Source organism: Homo sapiens, chromosome 15 (assembly GCF_000001405.40).
Source record: "Homo sapiens chromosome 15, GRCh38.p14 Primary Assembly".
Taxonomy (NCBI): domain Eukaryota; kingdom Metazoa; phylum Chordata; class Mammalia; order Primates; family Hominidae; genus Homo; species Homo sapiens.
In genome coordinates this window covers 48,146,023-48,162,459 of record NC_000015.10, presented here as the reverse complement: position 1 = coordinate 48,162,459, position 16,437 = coordinate 48,146,023, and the positions used below count along the sequence as shown (strand labels likewise).

The 16,437-nt window shown below is 32.5% G+C and overlaps 1 protein-coding gene across 13 annotated transcripts in view, besides 1 other annotated feature; it reads left to right on the top strand.

The window, feature by feature from the left end:
- The window catches only part of MYEF2 (myelin expression factor 2), a 43,664-nt gene that overhangs the window by 15,836 nt on the left and 11,391 nt on the right, over nt 1-16,437 (top strand). For 3 of the 13 annotated variants that reach the window (NM_016132.5, XM_047432635.1, XM_011521657.3), the window contains 11 exons: nt 2,656-2,847; nt 3,538-3,691; nt 4,236-4,285; nt 4,404-4,467; nt 8,567-8,668; nt 10,176-10,226; nt 10,518-10,586; nt 10,889-10,987; nt 11,289-11,360; nt 13,089-13,297; nt 13,377-13,428. In NM_016132.5, the coding sequence (NP_057216.3) occupies nt 2,656-2,847; nt 3,538-3,691; nt 4,236-4,285; nt 4,404-4,467; nt 8,567-8,668; nt 10,176-10,226; nt 10,518-10,586; nt 10,889-10,987; nt 11,289-11,360; nt 13,089-13,297; nt 13,377-13,428 (1,114 nt within the window). Of the gene's footprint in view, nt 1-2,655; nt 2,848-3,537; nt 3,692-4,235; nt 4,286-4,403; nt 4,468-4,561; nt 5,334-8,566; nt 10,154-10,175; nt 10,227-10,517; nt 10,587-10,888; nt 10,988-11,288; nt 11,361-13,088; nt 13,298-13,376; nt 13,429-16,437 lie in introns of those variants that run through there. The other 10 variants (XM_005254422.5, XM_047432636.1, NM_001301210.2 and 7 more) reach the window with 9 other exon arrangements.
- Nucleotides 12,075-12,639: an enhancer, noted in NCBI's record as "OCT4-NANOG hESC enhancer chr15:48442018-48442582 (GRCh37/hg19 assembly coordinates)". NCBI's record gives its function as "activates a minimal SCP1, AML or CMV promoter by ChIP-STARR-seq in primed H9 embryonic stem cells {active_cell/tissue: H9 hESC(primed)}" and the evidence as "EXISTENCE:reporter gene assay evidence [ECO:0000049][PMID:30033119]".

Below are 16,437 nucleotides of genomic sequence, written 5' to 3'. Positions count from 1 at the left end.
AGGGCAAATTACTTAAACTTTCTCCTTTGTTTTCATAATTACTAAGATGGGAGTAATGATAGCACCTACCTCATAGTGCTATCAGGACTCGAAGAGTTAATATATGTAAACCATTTAGTGTTGGCTATTTATTATGCTTGTGATATTACCAGTGTACAAAGCACTAAGCACAGTGCTCAAAATATTTTAGCTACATAATAAACGTTAGCTTTAGTAATGATGATTGTTACTCCTGTCCAAGAGTCTTTTGTTCCTGAGTGTGAGATAATAGCTTGAAATCAAAGGCCATGCTACCAACATATAACATGTATCCCAGATACCTTTATTTGAGCTTGCTTCCAAATTATTCTAGTCCTGTTTGAGTCTGGGGTTTATTATTAAAAAAGTTATTAACAGGAATGTATAGAATTAGCAGAGAAAATTTTGACTGTTGTGGTTTGTGTCAGCCAATTATTGGTGGTTTTTATGCATAAGCCAGGGCCAGTGCTTCAGAAATATATTGGTATCTTAATTTTCTTTAAATTATAATAATCAGAATGATTATTTTGAGGATTAAATTAGGTTGGTGCAAAAGTAAATGCAGTTTTTGCCATTAAAAAAAGCTTTGAATTAAAATAATGGCAAAAACTGCATTTACTTTTGCACCAACCTGACAATTTTCTGTTTTATGTTTTCTGTTTCTCTTCAAAGGACATGTACTACAGATTCTTAGTGTCTTTTTCTTTTATTGGAAAAAAAAGTTTATTGGATGCTAAATATCATCCAATAAACTTCCATATAATATTGGATGCTAAATATCATGTTATTGTGTTCTTTTAAGTTTCAGCACATTGTAGATCCTCAGTAATATTTCAGAGACCCTGGAGTTATATAATCCAAGTTGAAAGAGGATGCCGCCATTTTTAACTTTTTTAAGAGAAAAAAAAAAGGCTAAATTTGGCCTAGCTAAATGATGAGGGATTTATTCAGTTGACTTTTTTGAATTAATGTCACTTTGGCAGTCCCTTTCCTGGGATATCTAATTTATAGAGGGGTGGATGGAATGAATGCTTAGAACTGCTACTGAGGAAAGTCTAAGGAAGGTGTATTTCCAATGTTCCTTAACAGACTTTAGAGTTACATTTTTTTCATTTAATTAAATGCAGAATAGTAGCAGTTATAAACTGCTATTGTAGGCCCTCCAAAAGCAATAGCAGTCAGTAACCAGCAGGCTGACAGCAAGGGGAAAAGAAGAGTAAAAGTCATGTTATATAGTAGGTGGTTTGTTTTATATAAATTTTATTTTATATATGTTTTATGTATGTATGCATGTATTGTATGTGTATATATTTCTGTCATATATATGTATATAAAAGACAGATCAACACAGCAATACATCTTGTTAATGTTATAAGCACAAACAACCGAAATAGCTTACTATACTAGTTGAAGAAATATCTTCTCTTCTGAGTTATCTTTCTTCCCCATAGGTAGCCACTGTCCTAAATTTCGTATTTTTACCTCTTTTTGAATCCTCAGGCCTAAAGAATTTATTTATTAACTTATATGTTTTGAAGCATTCTTTGATACATTTTTTTTTTCTTTTGTAATCCTTTTTATTCCTTCATAGTGAAGAAATATGTTGCAAGCCAGAATGGTTTTATTATTTTACCTTTTCACCTTTTATTCTCCAGCCATCCTAGAGAATTTATTAAAATCACTTGACTTTCTTTTTATTAGTACTGTATTCCCAGACTGAGGCCAGCAAAGTAGATTTGATGGTTACCTTTACACTTCATCTTAGCCTAAAGATAGAGAAGTGATGATGGGGTGATTACCTTTAACATAATCATTTGGCATTGCAGATGATAGTCTATCCATGTGTTTATGTGGTTTTTGTTTATTTATTTTTGTTTTTTAGTATTCCACCTAGTGGGATGAGTGAGAAGTACATTTATGTTTGTGTGTGTGTGTGTGTGTGTGTGTGTGTGTGTATGTTTGGTTTTGTTTAAAGGTAGGGTGTTTCTCTTAAAAAATTAATGAACCTAACAAAAAAACAATGTTTAATATCATTTCTCACTTGGACATTTAGCCCTCCTTTATCTCTCCTCTCCTCCATCTCAGATTATAATCATTGTTGAAGAAGGTAAGAGTTTAGAAGGTGGGTAACTGTATTTTGTTCAGGAATAAAATTTACAGATTACAGTCGGCCATCCTATCCTCTACCCCAGTATTTGGGTTTTATAACAGTCTGTTCCAGTATTGAAAAGCTTTGAATTAGTCTGAATTTGGCATTCCATTGGGCATCCAATAGTGAGAAATGACCATTCCTACATTTTGGAAAGAAAAGTTGCAGTGAGTACTTCGCTCTTCTTTGAGTTACATGTATGTATGCATGTACCCTAGTGTGAGAGCAAAATTAAACTAATTTCAAGTTCTTAAGTGGCTTTAGTGATTGGAAAAAAAAATTAACTGACATCTCTGGAGGCTGAAATATTTTGTTTATCCACAGGTTTTTATGGGACTCAATTCTCTGGATGAGAAAAAAGCTCACTCTTCAAGAGGGTCAATAATTTGAGCCAGACAGGATAGCTACTGTAGAATTTAAATTGTTATTTTAATTTTGTAGAATTAGTGATGTATTTAGTGGAATTTAACATTCAATGTGTGTTATAGGATCCTGATGGAGAAAATGCTCGTAGGGCATTGCAGCGAACAGGAGGATCATTTCCAGGAGGACACGTCCCTGATATGGGATCAGGGTTGATGAATTTACCACCTTCCATACTCAATAATCCAAACATTCCTCCTGAAGTCATCAGTAATTTGCAGGCCGGTAGACTTGGTTCCACAATTTTTGTTGCCAATGTAAGTTCAAGCTTTAGTCTAAAATTTGTCATTCAGATAGATAGCTAATTTGATTAAATGAATGAGTTATAGGTTTATAGAACATTTTGCTTATTTTTAACTAAAGTAAGTGAAATAGTAATTATTGTAAACTCAAAATCAATTGACGTATATACATATATATACACACACACACACACGCACAAGGTTAGAGTTTAAATACAACTATTTGGATTTTTTAAACATGGAACTGTGCAGTTTATACACATTCAAGCAGTTCTTGAAATTATATGTGTTTTGGTTTATATTGGTAAATGGATTTCTTTTTTTAGTCTTGATATTTGTGAATATGCATGCCATAGTTGGTTTGTTATTTGTTCTAAGCATCTGAAAGTCAGTGAAAACAATACTTTTCAAAATCTGGATTTCTCTTGGTAAAAATAGATATGCAAGTTTCAAATGTACAAAACAGGTTTGAGCAGTTGAGAGATGATTTTGGAAATTAAAAAAAATAAGGATAAGGAACAATGTAGACGTAGCTTAAATGATTTTAAGCAACTGAAGATGTTTTAAAATTTGAACATTATCAATATATTGTTGAACTAGAATTATGGTTCTTTATGGTTTTAAGAGTTTAGAAAAGATTTTTTGTATTTACAGATGGGGAGATGGATTTATTAGGTATGTAACTTTATACAATTTTATATTAAGCTTGACTTCAAAGTTGGTTGGAAGAAGCTAAAGGAAGTGTTCAGCATAGCTGGAACTGTGAAGCGGGCAGATATTAAAGAAGACAAAGATGGCAAGAGCAGAGGAATGGGCACTGTCACTTTTGAGCAAGCAATTGAAGCAGTTCAAGCAATTTGTATCCTGATTTACATTTCAGCATTGTTTATGAGGTTGAAGAAGCATAATACCACCTTTGTTTTGGCGGGGGGTAATTGAATTTAAGGTTGCCTGGCTTAGAGATGTGTGTTAGACTTTAGTCTCCAGCAAATAAAACCCTTAGTAGGTCCAAGTATTAAAGTCACTCTTAAAACTTGAATTGGCCATATTGTACAGGGCTGGTATGAAGTTTTTTCTTTTCTTTCTTCCTACCACAATTAATTGTATACATGGATTTAACAATTGTGTAATCTATTGTATATTAATGCAGTTACTTTAAGCGAAGCCTTACGAGTTTACTTTTTTCAATGGTTGAATTAAAAATACATCTTATTGATGAAATAAAACCGTAAAGCAAAGAATTGAATATTTTTTTGAGTATATGAAAGTGGCTAATATCAATAAGTATTAAAGATGTTAATTAAAATATCAGAGAGTTGGACTCTAAGATTATTAAAAATTAGTTTGTGTTCTGTTATAATTTTATAGTTATCTTAACTGACTTTCCTTGACTGAACCAACAGCTATGTTCAATGGGCAGTTTTTATTTGATAGACCTATGCATGTGAAAATGGTGAGTTCCTGTATATCACTTCAACCTCCAACCTCTTCAGATCTTTTATTGGCTCTCTTCTACATTACAGTTCTTTGTGGTAATATGTTAACCATATTATAAACTTTCTTGCAATTAGGATGACAAGTCTGTTCCTCATGAAGAGTACCGTTCACATGATGGTAAAACACCACAATTACCACGTAAGTAAAAGCTATTATGAGAAACAACATAGGCTTTTTTTGGTTTGTTTTATTATGTGCTAAGCAACACTTTGTTTTTGTGCCTACATCCTAGTTTCTCACAATTTGGGATTAGTTTGGAGTTATGAAGATAGTTTGGCGCTATTGATTAGGAAGACTGAGAAGATAAGTGTTACGTGCCATTTTTTTTTTCTCTTTGGTAACTTTTCCTGACTAATCAGCAATACATTCTAAAATGTTTGGTAAATTTATACACTTGAAGGAAAAAAAGTCCTCTGTAATTTCACCATCTGTGGGTAACCTCATTATAACATTTTTGTGTATTTTCTTCTAGCCTGCTATGTATATTTTTTACATAGTTGGGAACAAAAATAATTTTGAATTATTTTTTGTTTAACATTAGAGTATAAGCATTTTTTCATGTTGAAGATTCTTTTCAAATATTTTTATTGGTAGTATAATAGTCTATCATATAGATGTTCCATAACTATTTCACTGTTCTGTATTTTAGGTGTTTTAACTTTTCTTTTGAGTAACCACAGAGTAACACATGCCTTTTTGTTCACAAATCTTTGTAATGTTTTTGAGTACTTCCTTCAGACAGATATTCTGAAGTAGATTTACAGTTCTCATGGGTTAGTATTATCAAATTGTTTTCCAAAATGACTATAACAGTGTAATATACTTATTGTATTATGTGTCTCAGTGCCTCTGTGTCTCAGTGCCTCCTTTGAAAAGTGGGGAGAATAATATTGTCTACGTCATGGGGTTGACATGAGTATTACATGAATTAATATATGTAAAGCACTTAGAATCATTTTGGCATAATGTAAACACTCAATAAATATTAGCTATTGTTTTTACTATTTCACTGCATCTTCTCTGGTTTTTAAAGTATTCTTATAAGAAATCTTAAATATACAGACAAAAGTAAAATTACTCATATAGTTATCATATGCCATATTTGTTGTAGATTTTTTTCTTTAAAATAAATAAAATTTTATGGTAAAATGGAGCTTCCCCATCTCCCTTGCCCATCTTTCAACTTATGCCTTATCCAGAGGAAACAACTTATGGATAGAGTATTTATCATTTAGGTTTTAATAATTTGACTACACATTTGTACATCCATAAACATAGGGAATTGTTTTGTTGGATTTAAAATTTTGTTTGAGTGATATCATAATGTATTATGTAACTTGCTTTTTTTTTTAAATTGTTTTTGAGATTCATTTATGTTGATAGATGTAGCTCTAGTTTCTTCATTTTAACTGCTGATACCACATTTTATACATTTTTCTGTTTTTTAGGTTATTTTAATTTTTAGTTATTGTGTATTAAGTTGGAAAGTATTTGCTATTTTTTATCAGAATTATATGTTCTCTTTATATTTGCTAGAAATTATGTGTAAAACTGGCCTTCCTCTGTTGTTTCTGGGAAGTTTTTAACTACTGATGGTTTATATTTTCTGTCTTTTTTTTTTGAGTCAATTTTTGTAATTTCTATTTTTCTAAGGATTTTTTCTGTTTTTGTTCATTTTCAAATATTTTGGCTTAAATTATCTCTTAAGTTTTTGCTACATCTATGTTTCTGTTTTAAAAATTCTGAATGCAATTTTTATTTTTTTCTTGGTTAATTTTGTTAGAAATTTGTCGGTTTTAATAGAGTATTCAAATAACTGAATTTGGATGTTTTGTATTTCTAATTTCTGCACTTAGCCTTATTATTTTTTCCTTCTATTTATTGGGGTTTAGTGTGTTTTTGTCCTAACTCCTTAAGTTGAATGCTTACTTCAAATTGGTAGCTTTTCCTTTCTAATATAAGCATTTATGACTATAAAGTTAGTACATGGGTTTTGCTATGGAGCATTTTTATGATGGGTCAGTTTTTAGAGTATTTAAAAATTACCATTATGGGCCGGGCATGGTGGCTAACACCTGTAATCCCAGCACTTTGGGAGGCCCAGGCAGGTGGATCACTTGAGGTCAGGAGTTCGAGATCAGCCTGGTCAACATGGTGAAACCCCGTCTCTACTAAAAATACAAAAAAAAGTAGCCAGGCATGGTGGCGCATGCCTGTAGTCCCAGTTACTCAGGAGACTAGGGCAGGAGAATTGCTTGAACCTGGGAGGCAGAGGTTGCAGTGAGCTGAGATCGTGCCCCTGCACTCCAGCCTGGGTGACAGAGGGAGACTCTGTCTCAAAAAAAAAAAAAAAAAATTACCATTATGATTTCTTATTGAGCCATGTATTATTTGAAAATGGAAGTTTTCAATTTCCAAATGTATGAGTTTTTTTTTTTTTCCTTTGTACTTTTTCATTTTAATGTGGTCAGAGAACATGGTTTATATGTGAGTGTGATTCTTTGGAATTCATTTGGACTTATGGATGGCCTACCATATGGCACATTTTTCTTAAGTATTCTGGGTACAGTTGGTGAGTGCAGTGATCTATATGTGTTCATTAAATCAAGTTTGCTAATCATTTAAATTGTCTTAGATCCAATACTTTTTCTGCTGTAACACTGTTTATCTTATTATCTTATGTGTCTGGTAAAATTGCCCAATAGAATAGTGGATTTGTCTACTTTTTCTTGTTTTTACTTAAATATTTTTAAGCTAGCTTAGTAGGTGCATCTAGATTAGAATTGATATATTTTCCTAGTGAATTAAAAATTTTATTGGGTGATTTTTTTTCTCTAGTAGTTACTTTGAGTCTTTGGTCTCATTTTAATGTAAGTACAGCAGCTTTATTTTGTTTAGTACTTGCCTGGTACATTTTTCCTATTTTTTTACTGTTTCAGGCATGCCCCTTATAAAGGGTGTTATTGCTGGGCTTAGACTTTTTAAAAAAATCACTTTGATAGTTTTTTTCACCATGAAATTGAAGAGTTCAATTTCTTCACATGTATTGGTTCATTTGGATTAATTTCCATTATATTGTGTCTTATTTTTTTGTCTTACAAATACTTATTTTACTCCTATCTTGGATTCTTCTGGATATTTTAATATTTCTGTGAAGCCTGAAGTTAATATAATTATTCTTTTATGTAATAGTAGAGTGACCTTTGGATACAGTCACTTTCCTACTGAATTATACTATCATTGCTCAGCATTTTAGTTCTGTATTATTAGTTCTGTACTATTTTTTTTTCTGTCCTGCAAATTAGACAATGTTATTTACCATTTTCTTGTGTCATCACTCCTCTGCTTTTATAGACTCTGGCACTAATTTTTTTCCCCTGAAGCATATATGTTAGAAGCTCTTTTAAGTGAGGATCTTTTATTAGTAAATTCTCTCAATTTTGGGTTTTAAATGTTTTCAAAGATAGTTTAACTTGTATAAAGATTGATAATTATTTTCTCTAAGCACTTTGAAAGTATTCTACAGTCTTCATGTTTACACTGTTGCTATTAAGTCAGCTATTTGTTGAATCGTCCTTTCTTTATAAGTAATCTGTCCTTCCTGTGCAGTTTGTGCAGTTTGACAGCAAAGACCAAAGTCTTAAAATCAGCTACATGTCATTATGCAAGCAACCTAAGGTCTCAAAAATTTCCTCTTCTATGGACAATAGATGTGGAAACACTTAAGGTGCCATATAAATATAAATAAATATTTATATCAATGAGAAAACTAGGTAATATAATATTTGCCTTATTCAGTGTTATACTTTCATGGTTATTGACTTTTTAGTTTGATTTGAACCATTTAAAAAGTAATTATCAAATTTTAAGTGGGTCTACAAATTTGGGCAAGATACTCATTTTCAGATATGTGTGCCATATATAAGGTGATATGATATTATTCAAAATCCTCTAGGTATTTTATTATTCCTCTCAGTGTACCTTTAAGTGGGGTATAAGGTGTACTTTGTATTATATCATGTTTTATTTCATAAAACACTTCTCATTAATAAATGGTTTTATAGTCGGGCTTCAGTGTGCTACTTTCTAGACAAAAACAAGAACCAGTGCTTTTATATGAAAATTTGCAGAAATTTTACAGATACTACTACAGGTATATAGCTTTTTAAAAAATTTTATTGCCAATTAGTTAATCATATATGGATCTTTGTAATGATTGTTCTCATTTTTGTTTTAGGTGGTCTTGGAGGCATTGGGATGGGACTTGGTCCGGGTGGACAGCCTATTAGTGCCAGCCAGTTGAACATAGGTGGAGTAATGGGAAATTTAGGTCCAGGTGGTGAGTATTCTAACTTCCTCTTTTCTTTTTAAATGATACATATGCTAGCTAATAAAGCCTCCATTGATGTGGTCTGTAATAATGTTTAAAGGACTCTAATTAATAGTTAGATATTTACGGTGTCACTTCATTCTGAAAAAGGAATGAAACCTTGAGCACAGCTAACATGAAAGAGATAGGCAGAAGTCAGGAGGGTTTCTTTGGGGCCAGCTATGTTGTAGCTAGCCTTTTAGCATTTTGGATTTTGAAATGTCTTGAAGGCAGAAGGAGAATATATCATCTATGAACAGTATTTATGGAGTAGCTGAAATGCTACCATATCATAGGCAGCTAAAATCTGTTTATCCATTTGGGAAGGTGGCTTTTCAGGTAGTTATTTGGCTGCTCACCTGGAAGAACTCACAGTTCATTTTTAGAGATTGGTTTTTAAACTTTGGTGTTAGGACCCTTTTATATTTTAAAATTTGTTGAGAACCCGAAAATGCTTTGTTTATGTAGTTATAATTACCAGTATTTACTGTATTATAAATGAAAAATTAGAAATTAAAAAAATTACATATTAAAAAATGATAAACTCATTACATGTTAACATACATAAAAGTTTTAAGAAAATAAACTATTTTTCAATGCAAAAAAGAAATTGGTGAGGAGAGTGGCATTGTTTTACCTTTCCACACATCTTTTTAATGTTTGGCTTAATATTGCTGTTATATCTGTTTCTGCACTTTAGTTTTTTGTGATATTGTACATCATATAGTGTTTGGAAAATTACACCTTAAACTCAAGAGAATGAGGGTAAAACATCAAATAATGTCTTAGTAGTATTTGGTGACTTAAATAGTTTTGACCTATTGAACCCTCAAGAGTCCCTGGACCATACTTTGTGAATTACTGTTTTAATTGATGGACTAATAAATGCTATCAGATTCCTATTTTGTCAAGATGCTGTAGTCACACTTTAAATTATGAGGCTCATTATCATAATCATTCTGATCCAAACAAGTTTTCTCCCTTACCCTTAGACTCTCACACCTACCTACCCTCTCCTAAATACATACTATTTATATTTTGAAAATTTTTACTGCTCTTTTAACTGCGATGTTTAGAGAGTCCTTACATTCTGGCCTGATCTCTAAATCTGCTGTAATGCTATTTCTGTGTCTATGCTGGAAAAAAAAAATCATTGATAGTAGTATTTCTGTGTTTATTGTGGAAAAAAAAGTGAATGATTACCTAGTTCAAGATATTCTCTAACTGAATGTTGTGGGTGTTACTAGTGAATTTTGCTTTCTTGTCTGATAAATGTTCAAAGAAACCCTTTTGAAGATTCATGATTAGACAGCTGCTATGGCATAGCACTTTAAACCATGCCTCCTGTACCCTACCGCTTCTCTAGTGTTTCATTGTGGTTATACCAGTGGTATCTATTTTGCTATAATGCATTATATCATCTTTTAGTCATAAAAATAAAATATACTTAAAGTACATACTGTGTATTTTATTTGAGGTATGGGAATGGATGGTCCAGGTTTTGGAGGAATGAATAGAATTGGAGGAGGTATGTATAAAGATTTGTTTTTTTGTATGTACCCATCACCATTTTTAATAAACTAGAAACTGTGTTGAGAATTCCATGAAAAAAAAGTCATGGTTTATTGTTGGCTCATGTTCTAAAGGCTGCTAGCAGAAATTGAGCCTGGTACATACTTAAAGGAAGGTGATGTGTTAAGAAGTAGCTGCACAAGGTAGGGTGGATGAAGAGCTTACTGGTGAGATTTAACATTTACAAAACGTACCTTTCAGCTACATGACTGACAGTTGGATCTCAAAATTAATCTTTATTCCATAGGAATAGGGTTTGGTGGTCTGGAAGCAATGAATAGCATGGGAGGATTTGGAGGAGTTGGCCGAATGGGAGGTAGGTAAATGTATGCAGTGGGAAGTGTGTGCATATTTAGTTTTCCCTATTATTAATATTTCCCCCCTATAACTTAGGAATGTGTGCTAAAAATGTCTTCAGAAGGCATATAGGCACTAGGGGATAAGGACAGGCCTGGGGAATGGGGATGATATGTGTGGCATGTGAGGTAAATTGGGTAAATGACAGACTATTTTATATTTGTGACTTACGCGTCTTTTCATAATTTAGATACATTCCTGAATGTTTTCAACATGTATTGATATATTTGAAAAGGTTAATTTGTTGCACAATTTTTTCAGAGCTGTACCGTGGTGCGATGACTAGTAGCATGGAGCGAGATTTTGGACGTGGTGATATTGGAATAAATCGAGGCTTTGGAGATTCCTTTGGTAGACTTGGTAGGGCTGGCTGCATACTTCTCCTTTTCTTTTTGTAGGCTATAATTTTTGAAATTTGGTTTCTCTTTTTTTGTGAAAAATCAGAAAATCATAATGTTTTATACAACTTATTACCTGAAGAAAACACTTTAAGGATTTTAATATGCTAGCTCTCTTTTTCAACATCTTACATATTTGAACTCTATTTTCAGAAGACTTTATGCTTTTCATTTATTGTAAATCAGAGCACATAGTACCTTGGGAATTTTAAAGTATGATTATTTAAAATTAATTAGTATATTATCTTTCCATCCTTGTTTAGGCAGTGCAATGATTGGAGGGTTTGCAGGAAGAATAGGATCTTCTAACATGGGTCCAGTAGGATCTGGAATAAGTAGGTTTAAATTTTACTAGAATTTATTCAGTAATATTTGAGTGCTTGCAAAGACTTTGCAAGAGTAGTTATCGTAGTATAGTAATACTTTGTTCTTATACGTTAATGTGTCTTGCTATAATTTGAGAAACCTTGATAATTGAGCAAAGCCTTTCTGTTTGATTATTGTTTGAAATTTCTAAATTAACTGTTTGAATTTTACTTTTTTGATATTTCTAAACTATGTGTTAACAGCCAATCCAGGAACCTTCTTTCCAACTAAGGAATCTGGGGATTTCTCTGATCATGTTTCAGGAGCAACTTTTGCTTTAGCACCAACTTTGTTTCCTTGCTTATTTTCTATAATAGCTATTAGTGACTAGCTTATTTTATTTGTAAACATCTATGTCTTTTGGTAAATGCAGATATAGCACTCTTAGGCATCTCCTGAGCTTGAGTCAGGCTAAGGTTGAAAGAGGTACTTAATTCTTTTCCTCTTGAACCTTTCCCGTAATAGCATCAAGAGTAGTTGCAACACTGGGGAATGCTGAATCTCCCATCCGTCTATTTCCACTCCTACCTTTTAGGCCTTATATTAAGCCTGAATACATGGATTATTTATTTATTTTTTTAACCTCTTTTGCTTACTGGGACATGTCTCTGAGCTCTCCATACTTTATTGACTTCCTTTAATTGATCAAATTTCACAAATAGAAAATACAACCTATTTAAACTATTCTAAAAGTAAATTCTAAAATCCTGTCAGCTTAAGACGTCTACTTCCATTGTATCTTGCTCCTTTTATTCCTCCTTCCATCATCTTTTAGCCTCAGCCATTTCCTATTAGTCCTAACTTCCTTACCTTCCTCTTTTATCTCAGTGTTTGTACTTCTGTTTCCCTGATTTTATATTGGTTATTCACAAAAAGCCAATTTGAGGGTGATGTTAATTTTTAGAATTTCCATGTTTGGGGATATTACATACAAGACAAAAGGTTTGATAATGAGTAAGATGGGAGCAATTGAAAAGGACAGGAAATCGAGTCAGTGCATAAGAATGAAGTAGGTATGAGTTCGGAGCTAAATTCTTAAGCTCTGGCTAACGGGAAGTGATAGCATTTTTTGTTCCCTTGACAAGTTCCGTGTAATATTGAGATTAAAAGTTATGTTTTGCTATGAGTATTGAATTACCATGAGAATAAAAACTGGGAAACAGAGGTGAAGATGCTGAGGTGAAAGATAAGCTAGGAAAGGAGTATTTACTTGTAGGAGAGTATGATGAGAGCGGCTTGAGTGCTAGAGTTGTAATAATTTGCATTTATCTCTGTGTATCTTTATTTTAGCAATTATTATGCTTGATATTATTGGAAAATAAAAATAAGGATCAGAACAACTGTCCTGTTATTGGAAGCAGTGATTGGTAGAGGATTTATATATTTATATGATATATTTAGTGATCAGAATACAATTTTATACAGTTATATATGCATAATGTATTTATACAGTGGCTAGAATTTCTCAGCTAACTAAATGTATATGTAAGCAAATTCTGTTCTTTGGAAAGTTGTTATCTGTATGAAAATAATTTTATGTTTTTATATTATTTAATTATATAAACAAATTAATTTCCCCCTTCTTTCTCAAAAATGTTTATCTCCTTTTCCTCCTTTCTCCTCTTCTCCTTTTCCTTATGTTTTTGAAACAAAAACACAAAATTCCCAAATCCCCCCGTCCTTTCTTGAAAATCCAGGTGGTGGAATGGGTAGCATGAACAGTGTGACTGGAGGAATGGGGATGGGACTGGACCGGATGAGTTCCAGCTTTGATAGAATGGGACCAGGTATAGGAGCTATACTGGAAAGGAGCATCGATATGGATCGAGGATTTTTATCGGGTCCAATGGGAAGCGGAATGAGAGAGAGAATAGGCTCCAAAGGCAACCAGATATTTGTCAGAAATGTAAGCAAATAAATATTAAGGATAATTCAAATTCTTTTTTTTCTTGTATATATGTTACTAATACCTCTTTTCATTCTAGCTACCTTTTGACTTGACTTGGCAGAAACTAAAAGAGAAATTCAGTCAGTGTGGTAAGTATGCAAATGACTGCAGATATGTTGATATTGATTATGGAGGAAAATTGGTTTTAAACTTTTATACACTGTGTTTAGACCTTTGCCTGTCCGGATGCCTATTCCTGGATAGTCTTGATAGCGTGCCAGGTCTAATTCCACTTCAAATAAATGAATTATTTCACTATCTTTTGACTTAGAGCAGTGCTATTACTACTAGGTAATAACAAGGTTTAGGTAACAAGGTTTAGGATATACCCTATCATTGTTTTCTGTTAATAAAGATAGGGCTTATTTTATTACCTCATTTTAAAAAGATAAATATATTATCATTCTTTGCATTAAACTTTTTTTCTCATGAGAAATATTAATAAATGGTATATTTATTTCCTTGTTTATAGTATAGTGCAGGGGATTATCAGCATAACCAACTGAGATGCTGATGTCCAATTGATAAAGGAGTTAATAGGTGAGACCCATTCTACATACACTGTATTCCTACCCAACACAGGAAACCTAGCTGGTAGCATACAACCCACTGTCAGGAATGCCTTGGACATGGGTACATTTTGGTTGCCCTTCTTATTCTTTTATAAACTGTTCTTAACTATAATGATACTACTTATACAACCTTAATGTGTTCCACAGGTCTGTGGAAGATTAGGTGGTTTATCACTTTTAAAAAAGAGCTTTTTATATACCATACTTAACTTTTGTTACAAATATCTTAATTGACTAAATTCTCACTTTTTCTTTCTTTTGCAATAATGAGAGAATTCATGTGAGTGTTATAAAGTAAAATATTTTTTGCTAGTATTAATATTTTTCTGCTATTGCATGGAATCTCAGCGACTGTAGTCACAATAGGAAATTACATAAGATAGCATATATATAATTTCTGAGGTCATGAAGGAATAGGTTTAGTGTTCTGTCACAAAATAGCCTTTGTGGCCACTACAGAGATAATATTATCTCATATTTCTTTATATCTAACTCTTTTGTAGCTTTTATTATATTAATAGTTATTTGTTCAAGTTTTCTTCCATCCTACGTGGAAGCTCTTGAAGGCAAGAATTGTCTTTTTATCTTAGCTCCTTTTATTGCCTCTGTACATATGGTAAGAGTTTATGAAAAGTTTATAAGTTAAGCATTCTGGGTAGATGTTCATTTATTCAGTAATTTATTCATTAAATCCACAAACATATTTTTGGCAGTCTGTTAGGCCCTAGAATTTTGAAGGTGAACAAAGTGAGATGCTCCTGCCCTCAAAGAACATACAACATGAATTTGTCTAGGATGTTCTGTTGACTCTCTTTCTTGATCATCCTTTTATTTTGAACTAATCAAAAATTCAAGAAAAAGTTGTTGAAAACAAGTTAACTGGTTAATAGTCACCACTAAGAGAAAGCAAAATAGTAAAGTGGCCTTGAGGTATTGGTCTTCTTTGCAGGAGTAAGAAGATCTACCAGAATGAGTAAGCAGTGTCTGGCCATGAATCCTGTAGACTACAGAGGAAAGAATGTATATAGGGTCTTAGTGAAATACATCAAATGAGGAACAGTGGCAGCAAGTATAATCTGTGTTGATTTAGTTTGAGTGAAAAAAAAAATCTCCAAATGAGATATGACATTATGTTAAAAGTAGAAATGAAACTTAGCAAGATAAAGAGCAAAGCAGGACAAAGAAATGACAATGAAAAGGTGACCATTGTTGAGTTGACTGTTCTTTATTCTTTGTAGGCTGCTTTCTGTTTGAGGTTAGATATGAGCAAGGCTTGCAGCAAACTTCAAGTGTTTGGTGGGCTTCTGGTTGGAGTGGCATTGTTTTGACATGAGGACATCAGCAATTGCAAGACATTTTTTGAAAGGAAAAAACATTCAAATCTACATAGAAAATTTTTATAGTATGTTAGCCATATAAAATAATGGTTAAATTATTATTCTTTACTTTGCTATTTTAGCTCTATTCTTATAATCCTTTTTCGATTATAATTATATTTTAAGATTAATGATTTTTGTTTTATCAATTCTTTTGTAAAAGTTTCTGACTCTTAGATTTTATATTAAGATAATACCATATTTACACAATTCCCTATATCTCCCTTATTTTTAACCTTGAACTACATTGATGGAAAAGTTATAATAATATAGAATTAAGTGTCCAGCTATTGACAACTATACAAATTATCTAGCTAGTATGAACTGAACCATCCATTTTTCTGCCATGTCACTTATTTATAAATCTTTTTCTTAGTATGAGACATTTCTTTTTAACATGCTGCAAGCCAGTAATGGCCTCTTGGGCAGTAAAAGGCAGTCTTCTGTTGTTGTTTTTCTTGTAAGCCCAAAGAGAGTAAGTATATTCTCTTGCTTGCTTCTTAGTAAGAATCTAGTAGTACTCCTTGCATCTCCCATAAACAATATCTGTCAGTAAAGGGTGCCACTGGCAACCCCCTCTGCTTATAAATTATCTCTAGTGATTAACTGTTCTTGATGGAGTAATTACAAAGGCTGAGTAAATGTTATATTATGGGTTATATTACCCTCAATAGAACATTTTCTCAGCCTTTGTAATTCAGAAAAGATTGTTTTCAGATCTTTCCAAATATAACAAGATGAGAAATAAGTGAATATAACTGCTATTTTCTGGTTCCATCAAGCCCCTAAAGGTAACATTTTTGACCCCAGGCTGGTAAGATACACATCTTTCCTGTAGCAAAAGAGATCTATCTTTTTATCTTGCCTTGTGTAATTCCTCAGAGAGATGCATTTTCAAAAAGGCTGAGTATAAATAAATTAACCTATTTAGTATTGGACCCCACATCATTTCAGCTTGTGCTAATAGGGTCAAATGGGCATAGTCTTTTAAATGTGCTCCCATGTCATCTGTATACTTTAGCTGCATTCTGGCCTTCTGGCTCAGTATGATGCAAGACTATAACATTTTAGAACTTCAGCACAAGGAAAACCCATTCTCAGTTATTCCTGCTATAAGCCATATAAACAGATATAACTTTGTTCCACAGAT